This window comes from Homo sapiens, chromosome 12, assembly GCF_000001405.40.
Source record: "Homo sapiens chromosome 12, GRCh38.p14 Primary Assembly".
In the NCBI taxonomy this organism is placed as follows: Eukaryota; Metazoa; Chordata; class Mammalia; order Primates; family Hominidae; genus Homo; species Homo sapiens.
In genome coordinates this window covers 96,781,304-96,805,041 of record NC_000012.12, presented here as the reverse complement: position 1 = coordinate 96,805,041, position 23,738 = coordinate 96,781,304, and the positions used below count along the sequence as shown (strand labels likewise).

Genomic DNA, 23,738 nt, shown 5'->3' with positions numbered 1-23,738 from the left:
ATGGCTATCCAATTTTCCCAGCACCATTTATTAAACAGGGTGTCCTTTCCTTAGTGTATATTTTTGTTAACTTTGTCAAAGACCAGTTGGTTAAAGGTATACGGTTTTACTTCTGGGCTCTCTAGTCTTTTCATTGATGTATGTGTCTATTTTTTATACCAGTACCATTTGTTGTTTTGGTTACTATAACCTTGTAGCATAATTTGAAGTGAGGTAATGTGATGCCTCCAGGTTTGTTCTTTTGGCTTAGAATTGCTTTGGCTATTCCAGCTGTTTTTTTGTTCCATATGAATTTTAGGATTGTTTTTTTCTAATTATCTGTGAAAAATATTGAACCTGTAGATTGCTTTGGGCAGTATGGTCATTTTAGTAATATTGATGCTCGCAAACCATGAAGATGGAATGTTTTTCCATGTTTGTGTCATCTACACTTTCTTTCATCAGTGTTTTGTAGCTCTCTTTTTAGAGACCTTTCATGTCCTTGGGTAAATATATTCCTAGATATTGTTTTATGTAGTTATTACAAATGTGATTGCCTTCTTGATTTGGTCCTCGGTTAGATCATTATTGGTATATAGAAATGCTACTGATTTCTTTTGTGTACTGAAGCTTTACAAAATTCATCTATCAAACTAAGAGGTTTTTTGTTGAAGACTTTAGGATTTTTTAGTTTTAAGATCAGCAAACAGAAGTGATTTGACTTCTTGTTTTCCAATTTGTATGTCTTTAATAGTTTTCTCTTGCCTGATAGCTGTGGTGAGAAATTCCAGTACTATCTTAAATAAGAATGGTGAAAATGGGCATCCTTTCCTTGTTCCAGCTTTCAGAGGCTTTGTTCATTCTTTTTTCTTATTTCTGTGTGACAGAAGTATTTCAAAAGACCCATATTCAAGTTCTGAGATTCTTTCTTCTGCTTGCTCTAGTGTGTCACTAAAGCTTTCAAGTGTATTCTGTATTTCCTTCAATGAATTTTTTAGTTCAGAAATTCTTTTTTTTAAAGATATTTATCTCCTTGGTAAATTTTTCATTCATATTCTGAATTGATTTTCTGATTTCTTTGTATTGGTTTTCAGATTTTTCCTGCATTTCATTGAGGTTCTTTCAAACCAATATTTTGAATGCTTTAGCTGGCATTTCAGGGAATTATTTTTATTAGGATTTATTGCTGGATGACTGTTGTGGTCCTTTGGTTGTATAGTATGTCCTGCTTTTTCATGTTAACTATGTCCTTCCATTGATATGTGCATCTGATGTAGCAGTTACTTGTTCCAATTTTATGAAATTGCTTTTGTAGGGGACAATTATTTTTTCCTGAGGGTGTATATATGTTGTTGGTTGAGTAGGCTATTTTGGCTTTGATTTTGGGTGACTGCGATAGTTCAAACTTTGTGTTACTTCTTTGACAATACACAAGGTCAGTGGTATTCCTGGTTTCCTTGGTGGCTTAGGGTAGAGTTATTAGTTGAGGTTATGGTGAAGTTTTGCTGCAGATCTGGACACAAACTAAGCCGCCTCCAGACCCCACTGGTGGCAGCAGTGGGGTAAATGTGCTTGTTTTTAAGCCTCAGAGCAGGTTTCACAGGCTCCAGTGTTAGTGAATCCTGGAGGGCTGATTCATGGGCTTCTAGGTGGCTTGCTTAGAAGTTAGTAGCAGGAATGAGATTCCATCCCATTCCAGCTAGAATGGTGATCATCAAAAAGTCAGGAAACAACAGAGGCTGTGGAGAAATAGAAACACTTTTACACTGTTCGTGCAGTGTAAATCAGTTCAACTATTGTGGAAGACAGTGTGGCAATTCCTCAAGGATCTGGAACCAGAAATACCATTTGACCCAGCAATCCCATTACTGGGTATATACCCAAAGGATTATAAATCATTCTACTGTAAAGACACATGCACACGTGTGTTTATTGCGGCACTATTTACAATAGCAAAAACTTGGAACCAACCCAAATGCCCATCAATGATAGACTGGATAAAGAAAATGTGGCACATATACACCATGGAATGCTATGCAGCCATTAAAAAGAATGAGTTCATGTCCTTTGCAGGGACATGGATGAAGTTGGAAACCATTTTCTCAGCAAACTAACACAGCAACAGAAAACCAAACACCACATGTTCTCACTCATAAGTGGGAGTTGAACAATGAGAACACATGGACACAGGGAGGGGAACAGCACACACTGGGGCCTGTCGGTGGGTAGGGAGCAGGGGGAGGGAGAGCATTAGGACAAATACCTAATGCATGTGGGTCTTAAAACCTAGATGACAGGTTGATAGGTGCAGCAAACCGGTTGATAGGTGCAGCAAACAGCCAGGGCACATGTATACCTATGTAACAAACCTGCATGTTCTGCAAATGTATACCAGAACTTAAAGTATAATAATAATAATAATAAAGAAGTTAGTAGTGGGAGTAGTCGGCCAGATGTGTGGGCAGGTTCTCAAGCCCCTAGGCAGCTGGTGTCATATGGGTGGTGGCTATAGCACTGATGGAGCAACCCACTAGGACCCAAGGAGTCTGTGTTGGTGTTCTTGGTAGCTGCAATGGATTGAGTGGACTAGTCCTCAGTCTCACAGTTGCCCATAGTAGGGCAGTGGGTGTTGTCCTAAGTGTGCTTAGGATAGTTTGGTCTCCCCTGTTCCTCCCTTAGCTGGGTGGGCCTTGAACTCGGCCCAAGAGTAAGGTATAGCCCAACATTAAACTCTCAAAATGGTGCCAGCTGTGGCTTTGTGACCAGAGTGGGTGGGGTGGTGTCCCCCTCAGGAAAGCAGCATGGGCAAGAATCTGTGAGGTATGCAGTCTGCTTGAGTCTCGATCTCACCGCAGGCTGTAGCAGGGTGGTGGGTATTGTTCTAGGTATGCATAGGAGAGACTGGTTTTCTTGTCCCTCCTTGGTCAGGCAGCAGCTGCTGCCACATCAACTCAAACTCGTTCTGAAGTTGGGGCACAGCCCAGCGTTAAACTCTCAAAACAGCACCTTAGGCCTGCAATCAGGGAGGGCAGGACCCTTCCCAGCCATGCAATATGAGCAAGAAGCTGTAGGAAGTGTGGTCCGCTCACTTCTCAGTTTCACAGCAGCCCATTGGAGGGCAGTGAGTATTATCCTAGATATGCATAGGAGAGCCTAGTTTCCTGTCCCTCCTTGGCCAGCTGGCAGCTACAGCCATGTCAGCCCAAACTCAGCCCACACAACAACGTTTGTAGCAGCAATGATTCCCTCCAAATTAGTTGTCAGGTGCCCAAAGGAAGGGCCAGCTACTGATTCCTTATTACCCCTCCTCCCTATTAGCTGTGACTTGTATTCCTTGAGCCTTCCCAAGTTATAAACATAATTCAAATTTATTCTGTTCCTCAAATGGGCTGGATCCTCCTAGGAATGCTGGATCCTAAAAAGAGCAGGAAGATGAGACAGGATAAAGCTAAAAGTCCTAAGGTACGATCTGGAGACAAATTTGGTCAATCAAACCTTTAGCCGTGGTTACATCTTCTTACAGTTAAACTGTAGTAGTATGTCTCTCTGAATTAAATAAACCACCCTTTGCAGCTATTTTTAAAGCCATTGTCTGGGAGGTTCATTAAAATGATAGTCCCTGGCAGCTTAGTTAGTATTTCTCCGTATAAGATTTTGAAATTGTTCAAAAGATGCTCAGTTTGTACAAAGTTCCAATGAATAGCTTGTAATGTGGTTCTATTATATTCTATTAAAGATAATTTTGTCAACCAGGATAGAATAATTTCTACCTCGTATACTCAAGAAGCTAAGATTTTCAAAGCTGTGAACTTAACTCCAAAGTATTGTGGCATGGAGTATTAGCCCTCTGAATTATTGAAAAATGTCATATCAAAATCCCCAATGCTGGGATTTCAACTCTGCTGCCACCAGCATCCCTAGTTCCTATTGGTATTTATGCTTCAATGTGGTGAATAAACTAAAGGGACCAAGTGGGTGGATCAAGGGATGTTAAATTGCATCGTCACACAATGATTCTTTTTGTCCCTGAAAACTCCAAAGCTTCAAGTCAGTTATTAATTTTCATTACCATCCTTTCAAGAAGCTAGAAGTGCCTATAGCCAGGACCATCATCTGGGGACTCAATATGGCACCATGCTCAGATGTGCAGACTCTGGAGTCAGATTGCTTCAGTCCTGACTCCTTGCCCACTAATATTCTTCCATCCTGTGTCTCACTTCCTTTTTTGTAAAAGGGGGCTAATGAAAGCGTTTATCTTATAGAGTTGCTGTGAAATGATGTAAGTAAAGTGCTTTGAACATAGTGAGTTCTACATTAGTTTTCTCTCTTATTATTATCTTGTGGGTTTCACGAGCTTCAGCCAGTTATTCAACATTAAACTCAATGCTAAAATCCTAAAACGATGAGTAGATGAATGCTTAAATACACCCATATTTAAATCAAACAAATTTCAGCTTTTTCTTCCAAAACGATAAAATCTGGAGTCTGAGATCTAGTGCATCTAGGTCAGTGTTTCTTGACTTTTTGACTGAACATTATGGCAGCAACTACATCTTTTATCATGACCCAATACATACATGCTTATTGTCAAAGGGGAAAAATATTCTCAAACTAAAAAATGGAAAAATGGTGTGTTCTGCATCTTTTCTTGTGACTAGAGAAAATCACTCAAGCAATTTGCTTAAATCTGAATTTTTTAGTTGGTGTTCTGCTTCTGATCTCTGCTTGACACTAGTTCATGCTTCTATGTTAATTGTCAGACACAACTGTTGATGGATAAAACCTTGTTACACTAATTGTCAGCCACAAAGATATTCTTAGCATTTGCTTCTTAGATGTTGTTTTGTTTTGTTTTTCCAATAGCAGCATACAGACATCTCAAATTATCCTGCCGCAAACTGCCCTTGTAATAACTGATATGGATATGGTGTTTCTGTGACCTTGTGAAATAAACTTTATGCTTTCTTCCTCTTTTTAAAACTAACTGCTTAGGTAAACATTCTGTTTCCCGACTATGTATTCCTTCCATTTCCAAACCCTCTCCGAATGGATATAATCTTTTATTAGCTCCTTGCCAGCAAGTAAATAAAATTTGACGTATGCTGAAGACCAACCTAAGAAATTTTGTTTTTAACAATATATATCATAAAATGGAAGTTTCAGGAAACATTTTTATATGCAGAGCATTCTAGTGTTTTTTGTGTTTCATTTCTTTTTAAAAAATGCTATTTATGATTCACTATACTCCTTGACCCATTACTATTTTTAATCATAATTTGAAAACTACTGCACTACATTCCCCTAAAAGAGACTACAAATTCATTATTTTTAAATGTATATGGAATATCTGGCAAGGATTTAACTGGAAGGGAGAGTACTTTTAAAATATGTGAAATAGCATGAAAGGTATCTGGAGAGTTATATGCTAAAGTTTCTCTTTTGTATCTGGATAGGAAGAGAATTATAATTGACCAAGAGTTAGTAGCAGATTTCCAGCCTAAGGTAGCAGAATGAAGGGGCCAAAGTGAGAAATGGTGCTGGAGAACAAAGAGAGGCAGGCCCAGGAGGTTTCATGATTTGACATGGGTCACATGAGTCAAGGAGTTGCAGAAGCTACCAGAGGCGCAGCTAGAGGGGACAGCACTCAAGAGCTGGGAAGTGCAAGAATAGACCAATGCAGAACACAAAAAGCAAATAAAAATGCTGAACACGGCAAAACTATAAGGCAAATGTTTTATGGGAAAAAGCCTGAGGCTCTTCTTACACAAAGCAGCAATCAAAGGAATTCTATGGTGGAATGTCCCTCTGTGAAAGGCTATATTGACCAACTGCTGCGTTTTTAAAAGCTTGACCCATTTTCAAGGCTATCCTAAAATCTGAATTACTGTTCAATCTCCAGTAATTCATGGATTGATACTGAACTGCTCCTAAATACTTGTCCCCTCCTTCCTTCTATCCTCCAATTAGCCCTATTGCAAATGTCCATCCATATGGATATAGATATGAATAAAGGTATAGATAATGGATATAAATATAAGGATAACATACATTAAAATAAATTATATCTACGATACAAATATGTAAACTGCATTTAGAGGCAAACTAAGGTTTTCTCTTATTTGCTATGTACTTAATTCGCTGGTTAGGCACAGTTTACTCTCTTTTCTGCAGAATGTTGAAAGCTAAAGTATCTATAAGGAGATATTGTTGATAAACATTAAAGGTGCCTTTAAATAATGATTACCAAGTATACTTCATGTATATTTGAAGCTATTAAACTTTAAAAACATAATAATTTAAAAATAATTTCACATAATAATGACAACTACTCTTTATTGAGGTTAGGAGTTTATAGTTATCTCTAATTACAGATGAGGGTAACCTTGATGCAGAAAAGTTAACTAATCTACTCAAGATCACAAAACTGTTAAGTGGCAGAGATGAGATTCAAACCTAGGCAGTTTAGTTCCAGAGTATGTGTTCTTACCCACTAAAATAAAAAGAAGACCATTCTCAGTACAACTATGCAAAAAACAAAGAGGAAAATCTCAAAAGAAACTGGTTAAAGAAGTCCTAAAACTTCCAAAGCAGCAACGGCTTAACTCTCAACAGCAAAAATGGAAATGAGTAGATGAGGTTTTGAATGTGTTGAAACAACATGATTTCTGACCTTAAATTATCTACCCCATGAAAATTTATTTTACAAATAAATGTAAAATAATGACATGTACAGGCAATCAAAAATTGGAAGTGTTTGCCTCCAGAAGATCCTCACCAAAGGAAATTCTAAAGCATGTACTTCAACAGAACGAAGTAATCCTAGAAGAAACGTCTAAAATGCAAGAGGGAGTAAAAAACAAACCAAATAGTAAATATGTAGGAGATTAATTTAAAAAACAAACATTTCTTGTATAAAACAAGAAAAACAAATAAAAATAATACTATTATTTTGGGTTAAAAAGGAAAATGTACAGTAATGCCATGTAAGTCATTAGGGGAGTAAATACACATCAATGTAGATTTTAATAAGTTAAGTACGTATGTTGTCCTGAAGGTAACCACTAAAAGCACAAAAAGAATGCATAATTTCAAAACTTATAGTGAAAAAATGAATGATAAAGAAATCAATCCAAAAGTAGATATTAAAGGAGAGGAAAAACAACAAAATCCAGGACAAGCAAAAGCAAGGTAGATTTAAACCAAATATATTAGTATTTACATTAATGGATTATTCAGTCAGAAGGTAATATTGTTAGACAATATTTTTAAATATCCAAGAACATACCTTTTATAAGAAGCAAAATTTAAACACAGGTACATGGAAGGGTTGAAAGCAAATGGCTGGAAAAATATTACCATGAAAATAATAAGCAAAATAAAGCCACTTTCCTATGTTAGCATCAGATAAAGCAGGCTTTATGGGAAAGTGAACATTATTACAAAAAGGTCATGTAATTTAAAAAGCATAATTAAGAAAAGTACTATTATCAAAATGATAAAATGTTCAATTCACCAAGATGATATAACAGCTATCAATCTGATTGCACCCAAGAACACAGCCTCAAATTAAGTAAAGCAAAATTTGAGAGAACTGTAAGAAAAAACTAAACAATGACAATCATAGTGAAAGATTTAAACATACTTCTCTTAGTAATTAATTTTTTAAAAAAGGCAGACGAAATGGAAAAATCAGCAAGCATATAGATGATTTGAACAAGACTGGCCAAACTCACCTACTACACATAAATACTTCCTCAACAACTGAAGAGTACATATTCTCTTAAAGAGCAATAGATTACTTACACAATTAACACTTTCCTGGTGAAAAAAAAAATCGAGTTTCAACAAATAGTAATCACACTAAAATTTTTTATTACCACAAAACAACACAATCTGGGAATAGATAACAAAAGATAACTAGAAAAGCTCCACATAGTTTGGAATTTTAGAAACACTTGTCAAAATAGTCCATGAGCCAAAGGAGAAATCGTAATGAAAATTTTACAAAACTATTTTTAACTGATTGATGATGATGTCAACACTATAATAAAAAAATTGTGGGATGCAGCCAAAACAATGTTTAGAGAGAAAGTCATAGCTTCAAAATGCATATATTAGGTAAGAAAAAGCTGAATACTGAGCTAAACATTTATTGCAATAAGTCAGCAGCTAGGAAAATAACACAAAAAAGTAGAAAAAGATATATTAACCAAAACTAACTAAAAACTTCAAGAAAAAGAGGAGAATACACAAATAACCAATATAAGAAATGAAAAAGCGTACATCATTACAAACACATTAAATAGATTTAAAATATGAGAGGAATTTTAAATAAAATGGTCAAATTCCTAGAACAGCAACTTAAAATTGACTCAGAAGAAACAGACAACCCAAAATGTCTTGTAAACAAAAATGATAGAACATTTAAAACTTGGTTTAACACAGGCACAAACTACCAGAGAAGATATTGGCCCAATCAGAACTGACACCACTTCCGAAAACCAGTACACTAGTACTATTGCTTAAAGACTGCATAAAACTATTAAGAATGATATCGCTATTTCTCAGAAAGAAAACAGTAGGTTCAGCTGGCTTTACTGATGAGTTCTAACAAACAATCAAATAAAAAAAGGTACTCCAAATTTACACAAACTTCTCCAGAAAATAGTAAAACACAATATATTTATCAATTCATTTTATGATTCTAGCAAAATCGTGATATGAAAAACATCTGACAAGAATAGTATAAAAGCATAATAAGAGCAAGAATGGCATATAGGAGATAGGCCGAACTTGCAGTTCCCACTCGAATGGACAGAGCAGCCTGTGGAGACTCACAAGAACTAACACAGGAACATACCAGGAAAGCTGAGAGAATCCACTGACCCTCTGAAGGAAGTGGCTTGCTGCTGCAGGCCCCATAAGATAGCCAAAACTGTGAGTGCCCAATGTGTGAGAGGGGGAATGTCCACCCTCAAACAAACATCCTCACTGGGGAATCTGAGGGTCCATATCACAGGAGAAGGATGTGACCTTACTTGGAGCTGAGACAAATTTAGAGAGCCAAGCAAAATACAGGGTGGAGGAAGCAGCAGGAAGAGCCCTGTGGGCACTCTCAGTCCCCAGGGAAGACATTTCTAACTTGATCTCGCAGGGATCCTTGGGGAGGGCTGCCAGTGGAATTGGGGAAAGATCACAGGGATAAGAACACTTCCAGCTGAACTTTGTAGCAATTTCAACCAAATATAAAGTTTCCTGGACAGAATCTGGAGGAGGGGGCAAATGGGGAGTGCAGACACAAGCACAGAAGTAGAGGGGCTCGAAACCTGAAAGTCCTGCTTTTTTTCTTAGCGGGGAGGCTTGTAGTCTGGGGCATGTTCTCAGCCCTGCTCACCAGCTGCCTAGAAATAAACTCACTGACATTGGGAGGGCACGGTGGGAGTGAGACTGGACTTTTGGGCCATGTGGGAGCTGGGTGAGGCCTGTCACTGCCAGCTTTCCTCCACTTCCCTGGCAACCTGTATGATGCAGCAGAGGCAGCCATAATCTCCCCGAGAACGTAACTCTATCCACCTGAGAACCACACCATCATCTCCCACAGCAGCCACAGCAAGCCCTGCCCAAGGACAGTCTAGGCTTAGACACGCCTAACCCTGCACCCACCTAATTGTTTTTCTATACCACTCTGGTAGCCAAAGACAAAGGACATAATCTCTTCAGAGCTCTATGTCCTCATCCACCACCTGAGAAACCCAAATATTTATCCAGGCAACCCTAGGGCAACCTTGTGTCTTACCTATACTATCAGCTGATGCTCTCTTGAAAGCACCACTTCCTGGCTGGAGGCCAACCAACACAAAACCAGTGCACTAAAAAAAATACAATCAAGGACCTTCACAGAATCCACTTCACTCCCCTACTACCTCCACCAGAGCAGGTGCTGGTATCCATGGCTGAGAGACCTGAAGGTGGATCATATTACAGGATTTTTTGCAGACACTCCTCTGTACCAGCCCAGAGCCCGGTAGCTTCGATGGGTGCCTAGACCCAGAAGAGAAATAACAATCACTGCAGTTCAGTTCTCAGGAAGCTCCATCCCTAGGGGAAGGGGGAGAACACCACATCAACGGAGCACCCCATGGGACAAAAGAATCTCAACAGAAGCCCCTGAGTCCCAGATCTTCCCTCTGACCTAGTCTACCCAAATGAGAAGAAACCAGAAAAACAATTCTGGTAATATGACAAAACAAGATTCTTTAACACCCCCAGAAGATCCCTCTGGCTCACCAGCAATGGATCCAAACCAAGAAGAAATTTCTGAATTGCCAGAAAAAGAACTCAGAAGGTTGATTATTAAGCTACTCAAGGAGGCACCAGAGAAAGGTAATACCAATTTAAAGAAATGTTTTAAATGTTACAAGATATGGATGGAAAAATCTTCAGAGAAATAGACAGCATAAATAAAAAACAATGACAAAGCCTGGAAATGAAGGACACACTTAAAGAAATGCAAAATACAATGGAAAGTCTCAACAATAGAATCGAACAAGTATAAGAAAGAATTTCAGAGCTCAAAGACAAGGCTTTCAAATTAACCCAATCCAACAAAGACAAAAAAAAAAAGAATAAAAAAAGAACAACATCTCCAAGAAGTTTGGGATTATGTTAAACAACTAAACCTAAGAATAATTAATACTGCTGAGAAAGAAGAGAAATCTAAAAGTTTGGAAAATGTATTTGAGGAAACAATCAAGGAAAATGTCGCTGGCCTTACTAGAGATCTAGACATCCAAATACAAGAAGCTCAAAGAACACCATGAAAATTCATTGCAAAAGTATCACCATCTAAGCACATAGTCATCAGGTTAGCTAAAGTTAAGATGAAGGAAAGAATCTTAAGAGCTGTGACACAAAAGTATCAGATAACATATAAAGGAAAATCTACAAGATTAATAGCAGATTTCTCAGCAGAAACCCTACCAAGCTAGAAAAGATCTGGGTCTTATCTTTAGCCTCCTTAAACAAAACAATTGTCAGCCAAGAATTTTGCACCCAGTGAAACTAAGCTTCATAAATGAAGGAAATATACACTCTTTTTCAGACAAACAAATGCTGAATCTACAAGGAACTCAAACAAACTAGCAAGAAAATAGAAAAAAATCCCATCAAAAAGTGGGCTAAGGACATGAATAGACAATTCTCAAAAGAAGATATACAAATGGCCAACAAACATGAAAAAATGCTCAACATCACTAATGATCAGGAAAATACAAATCAAAACAACAACAATGCAAATACCATCTTGTTCCTGCAAGAATGGCCATAATCAAAAAATCAAAAAATAATAGATGTTGGCATGGATGTGGTGAAAAGGGAACACTTTTACACTGCTGGTAGAAATGTAAACTAGTACAACCACTATGGAAAACAGTGTGGAAATTCCCTAAAGAATTAAAAGTAGATCTACCATTTGATCTAGCAATCCCACTACTGACTATCTACCCAGAGGAAAAAAGTCATTATACAAAGAAAAAAAAATACTTGCACACGAACGTTTATAGCAGCACAATTCACAATTGCAAAAATATGAAATCAGCCCAAATGCCCATCAATCAGTGAGTGGATAAAGAAAATGTGATATATACATATGCACACATACACACCATGGAATACTAATGAGCCATAAAAAGGAATGAAATAATGGCATTCACAGCAACCTGGATGGAATTGGAGACTATTATTCTAAGTGAAGTAACTCAGGAATGGAAAACCAAACATCATATGTTCTCACTCATGAGACAGGAGCTAAGCTATGAGGATGCAAATGTATAAGAATGATACAATAGATTTTGGGGGCTCGGGGGAGAGGGTGGAGCAGGGGTGAGGCAGGGTACAGTGTACATTGCTTGGGTGATGGGTGCACCAAAATCTCAGAAATCACTACTAAAGAACTTATCCATGTAACCAAAAACCACCTGTTCCTCAAAAACCTATTGAAATTAAAAAATAATAAAATTTAAAAAAGAATAGTATAAAAATAGCCCAATATTACTCAGGAAAACAGAGGTGAAAATTTAATACAAATAATAGCAAACTGAATCCAGCAAAATAAATATATCATGACCAATTTGAGTTTATCTCAGAAACACAACATTGATCTAACATTATAAAATCAATTAAATATTAAAAAGAAAAATTATAAAAATAATCTTAATAGATACAGTAAAATATTCATGGTAAATATTCTTAGCAAAATAGCAGTAAAAAAATTCTTTAACATGATAAAGAATAACTACCAAAAAAAAGTTAAGCATCATATATAATGGTGACACACTGAAAATTTTCCCTATGGGATCAGGAAAAAGAAAAATGATCAGCCTGAATCAGACTTTCCCCGATTTCTTGGTTATTTTCAAATTTATTCTACTAGACAATGTAGATTATATATTGATACCTGTTCTCATCTATATGATAAGAGAATGTCCTCTACTCTCCAAGTTATAATGGTTTAGTTAAGCTTTATATATAAATGAAATATTGAGTTCTATAAGTACATTACATACCATAGGTTCTGTCTCCTTGGGAGGTCTATCCAGGGGAGGAATGTACCATTGAAAGCAAAGTTCTTTGTTTGAAGCTTGCGTTACCATTTCTATTGGCGTTATGTCCACACAAGATGAGCCTGAAACAGGCTTAAAAGATAAAATGGATTGTACAGAACTATCGCGATACAACTAGGGAACAAACAAAAACATCAGTTTAATTACTGGTAATAAATTTGTTACATATATGAAACAAATTATTTGGCTATATTGAAAAATTCTGGGATTGTCTCAGCTTGTTTTATGGAGGTAAATCTTAAAACTAACCCTGGCTTACTACAGAGAAGATTCTCCTACAGTAAAAATATGCTGGCCAGGCGCGGTGGCTGACGCCTGTAATCCCAGCACTTTGGGAGGCAGAGGCAGGTGGATCACACGGTCAGGAGTTCGAGACCAGTCTGGCCAACATGGTGAAACCTCGCTTCTACTAAAGAAATACAAAAATTAGCCGGGCATGGTGGCGTGCGCCTGTAATCCCAGCTACTCAGGAGGCTGAGGCAGGAGAATTGCTTGAACCTGGGAGGCAGAGGTTGCAGTGAGCTGAGATCGTGCCACTGCACTCCAGATTGGGCGAGAGGGCAAGACTCCATCTCAAAAAAAAAAAAAAAAGAAAAAAAAATGCTTCAGAACCCAGTGAACTCAACAAATCTCTTCCACTCTGGTAAGTCTTACAGGGTGAAGATCTAGCAGGGAAAACGCCCATGCCAACATTTCAGTCTCAACATTACCACTGTTTCTAGGAACACCTATTTGGTTTCTGTTTTTTTCACTGGTGAATACACTAAGGGTGTGGTTATAAATTACTATTTATTTTTCCAATAGTATTTTTTTGCAATGCCATATGGAAAATAAGACATATTTTGCTCCAAAGTCTAAAATCCATTGCTGTAAAACCCACTTGCTCTGAAAAGTTAAAATCCTCCTCTCCTTAAATGAATGTGGCTGATTTGTAAGTTTTGTCCTTGATGAATGTGGGCCCAGCTTCTTTTATGCAACTTTGGTCACTGAATGAGGAATCTTCAGAAATATAAATGTATAGAATGCAATTGCCAATTTGGTAAATTACTTAATTAGTTGTTTAAGGTAGCTGAAAAAGCAAAGCATGGTTGCTAATGATCAACAAAACAATAGGCTAGCCATAGAGATAATAATGGTAAAAACAATATTTCAAGTCTAAAAAAAGGACCTTCTGAGGTTGCAGTGAGCCGATATCACGCCACTGCACTGCAGCCTGGGCAACAGAGTGAGACTCCGTCTCAAAAAAAAAAAAAAAAAAGCGTTCTTCAATGAAGTGCAAACTACTTTCCATATTAACTTCTTGTTATACCCAAGCTTGTAGCATGGCAGCTGGGAATTGGTCCCTCTACTTCAGTCTTTTTGATATCTAAGGCCTGTCAAGGTTTGAGGACCAAGCAGTATTTGTCAGTGGCCAGAAAGAAATGCCTGGTGTTTCTATAAGGCTTTGTCCCTCCCATTATTTCTGAGCCTATTCAAGATATAATATGACTGTGAATGTTAAGTCTTCAAAATAAAATAAAAACGGAAATAAAAACACTGACCTTTCAAGTTGTCTACTGATAAAAGAAAAAATGTTTTGACTGAAAGGTAATATTAAATGTGAAAAGTTTTCTAAATGTCTAGAGACAATCATAAAAGGCTATTATAAACCAGAATCCTTGCTTCTAAAAGCATGATCAAAATACACAATAAGCAAGATTAGCAGGGTTAAATCATCATTTGTAAGTGCTTAATTAAGAATAATTTTATGTCAGGCAGTTCATCAAAAAAAAATCAAGTAAATAATTAATTCAAAAAATAATTTCTTAAATTTCTTCATATCTGAGTGATTTTCAGAGGTTCTGACAACTATTTTAGCAAACAATTCATATTCAATAACTAGATAAGTATTGAAAAGTAAAAATACCTTTTATTTCAATATGTGCATTGTTTATTAGCACAGTAGTCTAATAATGATAAATTATAAACATAAGTCAATATCAAAATAGGTATTTAATATTCCATTACCTTTCAAATACTATATATGTAGTTGCTAAGAGGATTCATTACATATGCTAATTGATGAATTATACACTGAGTACTTTTATTCTATTTTTTTTTTTTGTTCTTTGAAAGAAATAAAACAACAGGCCTACCAGGAGAACCTTGGTTTGCCACAGTCCTATAAACAATAAAGCAGCTCACACTAGTCAGATATTTAACCTTACAACTGACTGTATTCAAGCATACAGTCCAAGCATGAATAACTCAGCATTATGCACAGTTTTAATCATATTCTTTTTGGGAAATTTTTAATGTAACTTGTTTGCCACCTTTGTTTTTCCATCACAAAGCTCCGAAAGACTTGACAACATGCAGAATCACACAACTGATGAGCACAACACGGAGCAATGATTGTTCTGGAAAGGCATCTACTTCTTTGTGGGGGAAAGTAGGTTTAAGTATCAAATTATGGAACGAGTTTGATTGAAATAGCCTCCTGAGTGATTAAAGGTTCAAAAATGTTATTACAAAAATCAGCCAAGCTTGGAGTTTATATATGTATATATAAATCCGAAAGGCTTTATGCTCATTAGCTGTCTACCCCAGTGAAACGAACACATGATGAGGTGGCTTCACCTGTCAGGCAAGAGACAATGATCTCCAGAGCTGATTTTCCTGGGGAGTGTTACACTAATTATATCAAAAAAGAGCAAACAGGGTGAAACAACTCTTTGATAACACTGTTGCCATTAGAAATGTCACTTGTATTTACAACGTATTCAAGCTTGAACATTTGGAGCATAATCTTTAGGAAATGGGTAATGATAGGCTGCCCTTAATACTAAAATACTCAAGCAGAGCTCCTTGTAGAACAGTATTTAAGAAATCACACCTATTAGTTTCCAAACTCTTACATAATATTCACAAGAATAGATCAGTTGAAACTATTGTTCTCAGTCTTCCCGTCCTCTGCCCCCTACTCCAAAATGCCTGAGGTATCTGTGACACCTGGCAGTAATCCTCAAAAATAGTCTCAGTTCCCAGGAGGGGTGAATCTGAATCTGGTGTTAGATGGCAATGATTTCATTCTACTCCCACTGTGCCCTTCTGTGTGCAGGGCCAGACATTAACATTACCTTCCTGGCCTGTTCACGTCCTCACTCACTCCTTCCCATGGGGGAGTGTTACTCGATTGCTGAATCTGGGAAAAAGAACTTTGGGCATGCCTATTTCTGCGCTTTCTTCCTGGGAGTAAAATGTTTGCAGGAAGTGAACACTCTCTGCTCCTCACGCAACAGATTTTAAGGAGCCTGTCCCCACATGAGGAGCCTGAAATGACCCAATAATATGAGGCCAGATTGGAAAATCTGTCTACTTTGGTACTCATTACTAGGAAGATCATTTCACCAATAAATATAAACCACATCCTATAATATCAACTTCATCACTCATAAAGATGAGCATTTTTAAATCCCAATCTGTTTTACTCTTTTCTCTTATTTCCTGAATGATTTAGAATCTGGGCACAGAATGGGGTTGCTGAGCATTGGGCATGCCACAATATCCCAGTATCTAGGAGAGAGGAAGTCGTTTGAAAAATCTTCCAGTGTGCTTTCAATACATTGCACTGAGGGCCACTGCATAACACCAACTGAGAATCATTTCTTTAACTGGATTCTTAAAAATATCTTAATAGGTTTTTCCACTACTTTTAAAAACTTACAATTTATTAACAGTCATCTGACTCTCTTGAGTAGGGAAGGAATGTTCAAAAGAGTGATTTTTAAAAAAAAAAATGTATAATTTAATCTACCCAAAACATAAGGTTGCTATATTCTAGTAGGATAAGATAAGCAAGGGTCACCATTCTGGAACAAGCCACATTTTCAGTTCTCTGGGAACTTCTCTGGGAGAGTTGGCAACAGTAACATGAACATATCTTATATGGGAAAATCTATAGCTATAAAAATTAAAGAGTTCAATGGTAAAGTCCAAAGTAGAGATAATTCAAAATAAATCAGTGATTTTTTTCTAGTTTTGAAAGAATTCTGTACAACTTATTCATTTCACAGATATGTATTGGAAGCTTACAATATGCTATGTCCACTTGAGTTTTCTACAAGAATCTCAAATTCTGTATCTACGAAGCAGAAAAATGTGCTCATGCTCCTGCCTCCCCTGTATGTGCTAATGATGTCACCATGCACTAATGATCACAGACAGAAGTTCCAAATGGTACAAGAGGCTCTAGTCATTTCCTCTTCACTTTCCAGCTCCAAAGAGTCACAAAACTGTTTCGGTTGTTGTTGTTTTCAGTGTTACTTAAGCAAATATGTTTTACAGCCATCTCTTCCTTTCCATTCTTGTGTCATAAGCTTCATGACTTCATCACCTCTTTCTTAAATAACTCACTTTTTCGGGAGGCTGAGACAGGACAATCGCTTGAACCCAGGAGGCAGAGGCGGCAGTGAGCCAAGAAAGATCACACCACTGCACTTCAGGCTGGGCGACAGAGAGAGACTCTGTCTCAAAAAAAAAACCAAAAAAAAAAAACCTCACTTTTTCATCTATCCTTTGCCAATCAGCCCTATTGAGAGTATTGAAAGTAAAACTAAGATATACTAATTTTCACATTATTTCTGCTAGTATTAATCCTGCGATTTTCTCTTAGAAAGTATCTCTGAAATAAAGTAACTTTCTTCTGTTTTAACCCTGTCACTGTTTCTCTACTACCACACTGAGACTATATGTACAGGGACTACGCTTTATCCATCCTTTCTCCACCAACTAACAGTGTCTCTGGCACACAGTAGGTATTCAACATAGGTTGGTTGAATACCAAATTTCAAATACATATTCTTATTTTTAAGTAAAATCCTTTACTTTTTCAGTGTCTTTTAACACATTCATTTTGGAAGTTTATCCAAACTACTGCTATTCAAGACTTTAGTAGCTTTAATTTTGAAAAATCTCCATTTATATTCCTCTTTTTATGTCTCTACAATCAATACCTTAAAAAGTTTCCATATTACATATCTTGGGAAAATGTATCCAATTTAATAACACTTTTCCAAATAAAAAGTCTTCACACTTTTAATTTATTTTAAAGTGTTACCTCTATTATTTATTTACACTCACAATTGCAAAAGGTACTCACAATGAATAATTTTTATCACACATTTAAAACCAAAGTACAGAAACTGGGCACAGATTTAGACACTATCAGTCTAGTTTTCTTATAGAGTGATGATACTGAAATCTGTGTAACTTTTTGGCAAAATGGTTGCTTGAGAGATGCTGTTTTGTGCAGGAATATAGAAACTTCTAAGGCATTTTAAAAGACTTATGAGAACAAGACTGAACAATTGAAATGTGAACTGTCCTAAAATCCCAGGATGTTTGGTTAGCCTATCCACATGGTAACACAGGAATGAGCCTTCCCTAGAACTCTGAGAGAAGTAGAAATCTGTGCCAGCATGGAAGCTAATGTGTTTCCTTCTGAAATATAATGATGATTCCAAGAAGTTTTATGTAAATATATCATGTTTCAAAAAACGTTACCTTGGCAGATGATTCACGTAAGTCTTTTTCTGAAAGAGGGGGATTTTCCAGTTGACAAAGAAGTTCTTTTGGAAATTCATCAATACAAGAAGAAGAATACAGCTGTAAGAATTTTTTAAGGAAAAAATGCACTTCTTTCTGGCGCAAAATCAACTCAGAGTTGTAAAGGGATGTGAGAAGTGTATCATCTGGCAAAGAAATTCCAGATACTGGTGTTGCAGATGCTTAAGAAAGAAAAATACCTTAGTTTAGGTTCATATTAGAAAACGGGATGATCTCAATATTGCTGGTATTTGCTCACTAACCACTATCGTTACATATTCCCACCTCCGCTAGAGGCTGCCAATGACGTCCCTCTGTTTTTAGAGCTTATACACTAATGGAATTGTTTCTTGCCACAGAAGGAAACAAAATTTCAGGCCAGGCGCGGTGGCTTATGCCTATAATCCCAGCACTTTGGGAGGCTGAGGTGGGAGGATCACCTGAGGTCAGGAGTTTGAGACCAGCCTAGCCAAAATAGCAAAACCCTATCTCTACTAAAAATATAAAAATTAGCTGGGCATGGTGGCACACGCCTGTAATCCCAGCTACTCAGAAGCCTGAGGCAGAAGAATCACTTGAACCCAGGAGGCGAAGGTTGCAGTGAGCCAAGATCGCAGCCTTGCACACCAGCGTGGGTGACAAAAAAAAAAAAAAAAGATTAAAAAAAAGAAAATTTCAAAGGCACATGAGGGTAATGCTTAGTTTTAGGTATTAACAATGGTGCCATACATTCCATGTACCTATTTTCTTTTGGGTTCCCCCTAAAACAGATCCTAAGGTAAGAATTTGTAGACAGTTTATTTGAAAAGTCATTTCAAGAAGCACAAGTGAGGGAATGGACAAAGTGTGACAGAGAAAACAAAAAGAGCCAATAAGGGTGAGTAAATGAGTGGGCTACAGCCTTGGGCAGTGAGGGCTCAGTCCCACTGGGAACCTTCTGACAAACCACGTAGAACTGTCCCGTCGAGAGACTGAGAAGCTGGTATGTTTATCTAGGAGCTCCCTACCTCAATAGCTGAAGGTTACTCCTGTGTCTGCGGAAACCCTGTCTGCAGGCTGGTCAAACCTCAGTAGTTTCAAAGAAAGCCCAGGGCAGAAAAGCAGTAAGACATGGCACTTGTGGGAAGTGCCAGCAGGTGAATTCAGAGGTGAGCAGACTGGCTGAGGGGCAAGGGATCACCAGGGCTGGCTGCACTGGCTCTTGTCCATGTCCTTTCCCTCTGAACTTCCCTTGCTCTAGCCCCCATCACCATGAACCTTTTCGTCCTGACACCTTTCAGAGGGCTTGTGAGCTCCTGGTAACTGTGCTTAGCAACTCTGTGACTCAGCCTATTTGCCCTTCTGGTTTCCCCATCACTGTGCCCTGGCATGGGTCAAATTGTCTTTTCTGACTGTTTGCACTGATGGGCAACACTGGATCACCAACATTATGAGCACAGATAAAACATAACAATGTCACACAATCACAAGAGGGACTAATGTGAAGCAGATTTTATCAGTTTTTCTGGATATTTTTTAGATAGCACCAATGATTAAAAAAAAAAAACTCCACGGAATTAATATGCCATCTGAAGTCATGCATTTCTTCCCTCTGACATACCGGCTACTGGACCACTCTTTCTCTAAAGCCAAAATGTCATCTTGTTCATTTCATAAACTGTCACATTGGAATCACTAGTTCTTAACTTTGGCAGTGGTCTTGGAAAGCCTCTGGATGCCTCCTTATCATGATGTTTTTAAACATATGAAATAATATATATAGAATTTCTAAAGAAACCAATTACATTGAAGTACTATTCTATCCAAAGATGCATGTATCCCAGGTTAAGAACCCATGAAATTTTCATCTTCTGATGACAGTCACTCAGAAAGATGTCAAAAGTATCTTATAATTCTCAACAAGAAACATGACTTAAATGGGAATTAGAAAGAAATATGTTCTCTCTTAACACATCAAAAAACCTACCTAGCAGTTTGCTCAGATTATTAATCCTCTGAAGGTGAATATAGTAGCGCAGTAGAAGGATCCATGTAATATCCACTTTGGTCTGAGTCTTTTTTCTACCATCTGCGCTGTCACACACATCATCATTTTGGTACAAAAATGTACAGGAAGTCTGGAAGAGGACTTGGTAGTTGTCTGAAAGTGAAAAACTTTTTTTTGTAATACAATATTATATTATGCTTTCCTTGAAAAACAATCATGAACAGAAAAAAAGCACAGCTCATAAAGGAAATGCTGACACATGATACTATGTTCAATTTAAAAGTCTTTTGTATCATGCAGACACCAAACACCAAGTTAAAAGACCAACCACAGACTGAGAAAAGATATTTAAAATATATATATATATGAACTCTCTTTAATGTGTAAACACTTTGCATCAATCAACAAACAAATGTCAAGCAACACAATTTCAACAGGCAATTCATAGAAAAAGTGGACAAAGAATATCAACAGGCAATTCATAGAAAAGTAAACCCAAGTGACCAAAATTTTTAGCATCACTAAAAATTAGAAAAATGCAAATTAAAATGAAATAGCATTTCATATCCCTTAGGAACTGATAGACACCAAAATCTGAAAATAATAAATATTGATAATAACGTGAATAAATTGGAATGTTCACACATTATTTGTGAGAGCAATTCACAATTATTTGGAAAACAATTTGGCAAGATCTAAGAAAACTGAAAATGCAGATACCCATATATGTGTACCAAGAGTTTTGCACAAAGTGTTGTTTGCAATATTAAAAAAGGAAACTTTAAAATATAAACAGGAGTCTAATCATTTGAAGCCATTTAAAGTGAATGAATTACATCTACAAGAGAGAAAATATAGTGTGGAGTCTCAGTTCAAATCCCAGCTATACACTCACTAGTGTGTGACCTTGAATCTCTCTGTGCCTTCGGCCTCTCTGGGCTTTTGATTTTCTGACTCTTACTTTTCTTTTCTTTTTTTCTTTTGAGATGGAGTTTCGCTTTTGTTGCCCAGGCTGGAGTGCAATGGCACAATCTTGGCTCACCGCAACCTTCTCCTCCCGGGTTCAAGCAATTCTCCTGCCTCAGCCTCGCGAGTAACTGGGATTACAGGCATGCGCCACCATGCCCGGCTAATTTTGTGTTTTTAGTAGAAACGGCGTTTCTCCATGTTGGTCAGGCTGGTCTTGAACTCCCGACCTCAGGTGATTCACCTGCCTCGGCCTTCCAAAATGCTGGGATTACAGGCATGGGCCACTGCGCCCGACCTCTTACTTTTCTTTAAAATGGGCATTATAAGAGTAATGATGGATATATCCTGAAAATGTACAATGAGTTAACAAACAGGTTCCAGGTGATATAGAGTATGATACCATTTATGTAAGTTTGAAAACAATATGATTATTTCTATCATTTACATATATACATGCACATAAATAACATTTGATTAGAACAGTGGTTGTCTCTGGGAAGCGAAAAAAGGAAGATAAATATTCTATGGTTAGTGGCCTATGCATGTTTTCTTGAATAAGATGAATCTCCATGTACTCACCACCCACCTTGGATTACAAATTCCCAGTACTTTGGGAGTATCTTATAAGCCGCTCTCTAATTCCATTTCACTCTCGCTGCCTGAGCTCATGTCCCAGAAATAATCACTATCCAAAATTTAGTGTTACTAATCCCATATCTGTCCTTCACTCTTTAAACATATATATTACATAACATGTAATAAATAAAACATTGTTAACTTTATCTTTTTAGAACTTTATGGGAAGAGAATCATACTGCATGCATTTACCTATGATTTTCTTTTTCCTTTAAACATTGTGCTTTGAAAATTCAGCCAGGCTAATGCAGGTGGCTGTTATTTACTGATATTTTTTGTTATTATGTAGTATTTCAGTATAGGAATATACCACAATTTATATATCTATTCTACCATTGATGGACATGTGATTTCTTTTTAATTTTGTTTTATTTTGGTCTTTACTGTTATGAACAAGGCTGCTATAAATATTTAAGTACATATTGTCTGGTGCACGCATGCACAAATTACCTGGATGTGGAATCACTAGGTTGTTCTTTTTTAGGTATCTTTTGACCAATCTTGCCTTTTGTTCTTTCATATAAATTTTGGCATCACTTTGTCAAATTCCACAAAATAAAACTACTGAACTACTGAACTACATTAAATCTATCAATCATTTTTAGAATACTTGGCATTTGTCAATACTGAGTCTTCTTAACTATAAACATGGTATGTTTTCTTATCTCTTTCAATGAAATTTTATAATTTGTTTCACAACTTTGGTTAGATTAATCCCTAGAGGTCTTATATATTTTTGTAGCTACTGTAATAACATCTTTTTAAAATACGTTTTCTGTTAAAAATGTATAGAAATAAAATCTTACATCCAGCAACCTTGCTAAATATTTTTATTGCCTGTACTTCTTGGGAAGTGTCTATGTGAATAATCTGCAGTGAATGATGGTTTTTTTCTACTTTCCCATTCTTTGTACTTCTTATTTCTTTTCCTTATATTATTGTGCAGGGTAGGACTTCCAGAACAATTGTGAATCAAAGTAATAATAGCATTTTCTTACTCTTGATTTTAAAGGGAATAGTTTTGGCATCTGAATATTTACTATAAATACAGTAGGCATGTTTTCCCACTTGTAATTTTTTCAGATTAATATTTTTTTAATTCCCAGTTTTAGAATCATAAATGGTTGTTGAATTTTATTGAATTTTTCTGCACCTATTTGAGATGATTATTATTTTTCTCTTTCAATCTATTAAAGTAGTGACTTAGTTCAACAGATTTTCTGATGTTGAATTACATTTGCATTCCTGGAAATAATCCAATTTGACATGATGTATCTTTTAATATGCTGCTTATTTTGATCAAAGTCAAACATTAACATAATCAAAAATAAAATTCCCTCTCCCAGAGACAAGCATTTTAACCATTTGTACTTTAGTTCTTCTAATAGTTAGTTCCAACTCTTAAAATAATTTCCTTATACCATTTTCTTAAACTATCAGTTTTAGAAAATATATCTAGTGACTTTTTCTGTGACATGAAATATTAGCCATAAAACCACTCTTCTTCACTTCAAAATGTCTATAGTTATATCACCATTTTTAGTTCCCCTATTTTTATATATCAACAATGTTCTAAAAGCTCTTTCTGGTTCCTCTAAATACAGGTCATATCTCTTGATGCCTTCCTTTGTGTTCTAATAGTACCTGCACACCTTTATGGCCTTCTCCTTGCTGGGTTTTCTATTTCCAAAGTTGGTAACATTTACATTCTGTTCTATACCCATAACAAACCCTTCATTGTTTTGTCAATAAGTTGAAAATCAATAAACAATACTTACATTATTATGATTGTATAGGAATTGTTTGCTTCAATATGATCAAATTACTTTCACTAAGGGTCACTGTCAAACCTTGTGACCCACAAAGGATAAAATTCTCAGCACAAAGGTCAAATGGATTGTTTTTACTCACGCCAGTCTCTAAATAAGGCCATATTCCAATTCGCTTCTTATTTGGACCAT

The 23,738-nt window shown here is 36.7% G+C and overlaps 1 protein-coding gene across 2 annotated transcripts in view; it reads right to left on the bottom strand.

Annotated features, from left to right (window-relative positions):
- The window catches only part of CFAP54 (cilia and flagella associated protein 54), a 385,979-nt gene that overhangs the window by 70,514 nt on the left and 291,727 nt on the right, over positions 1-23,738 (bottom strand). For both annotated transcript variants that reach the window (NM_001367885.1, NM_001306084.2), the window contains 3 exons: positions 20,152-20,325; positions 18,144-18,367; positions 12,543-12,713 (listed from right to left, as the gene is read on the bottom strand). In NM_001367885.1, coding sequence (NP_001354814.1) covers positions 12,543-12,713; positions 18,144-18,367; positions 20,152-20,325 — 569 coding nt within the window. The remainder of the gene's footprint in view (positions 1-12,542; positions 12,714-18,143; positions 18,368-20,151; positions 20,326-23,738) is intronic.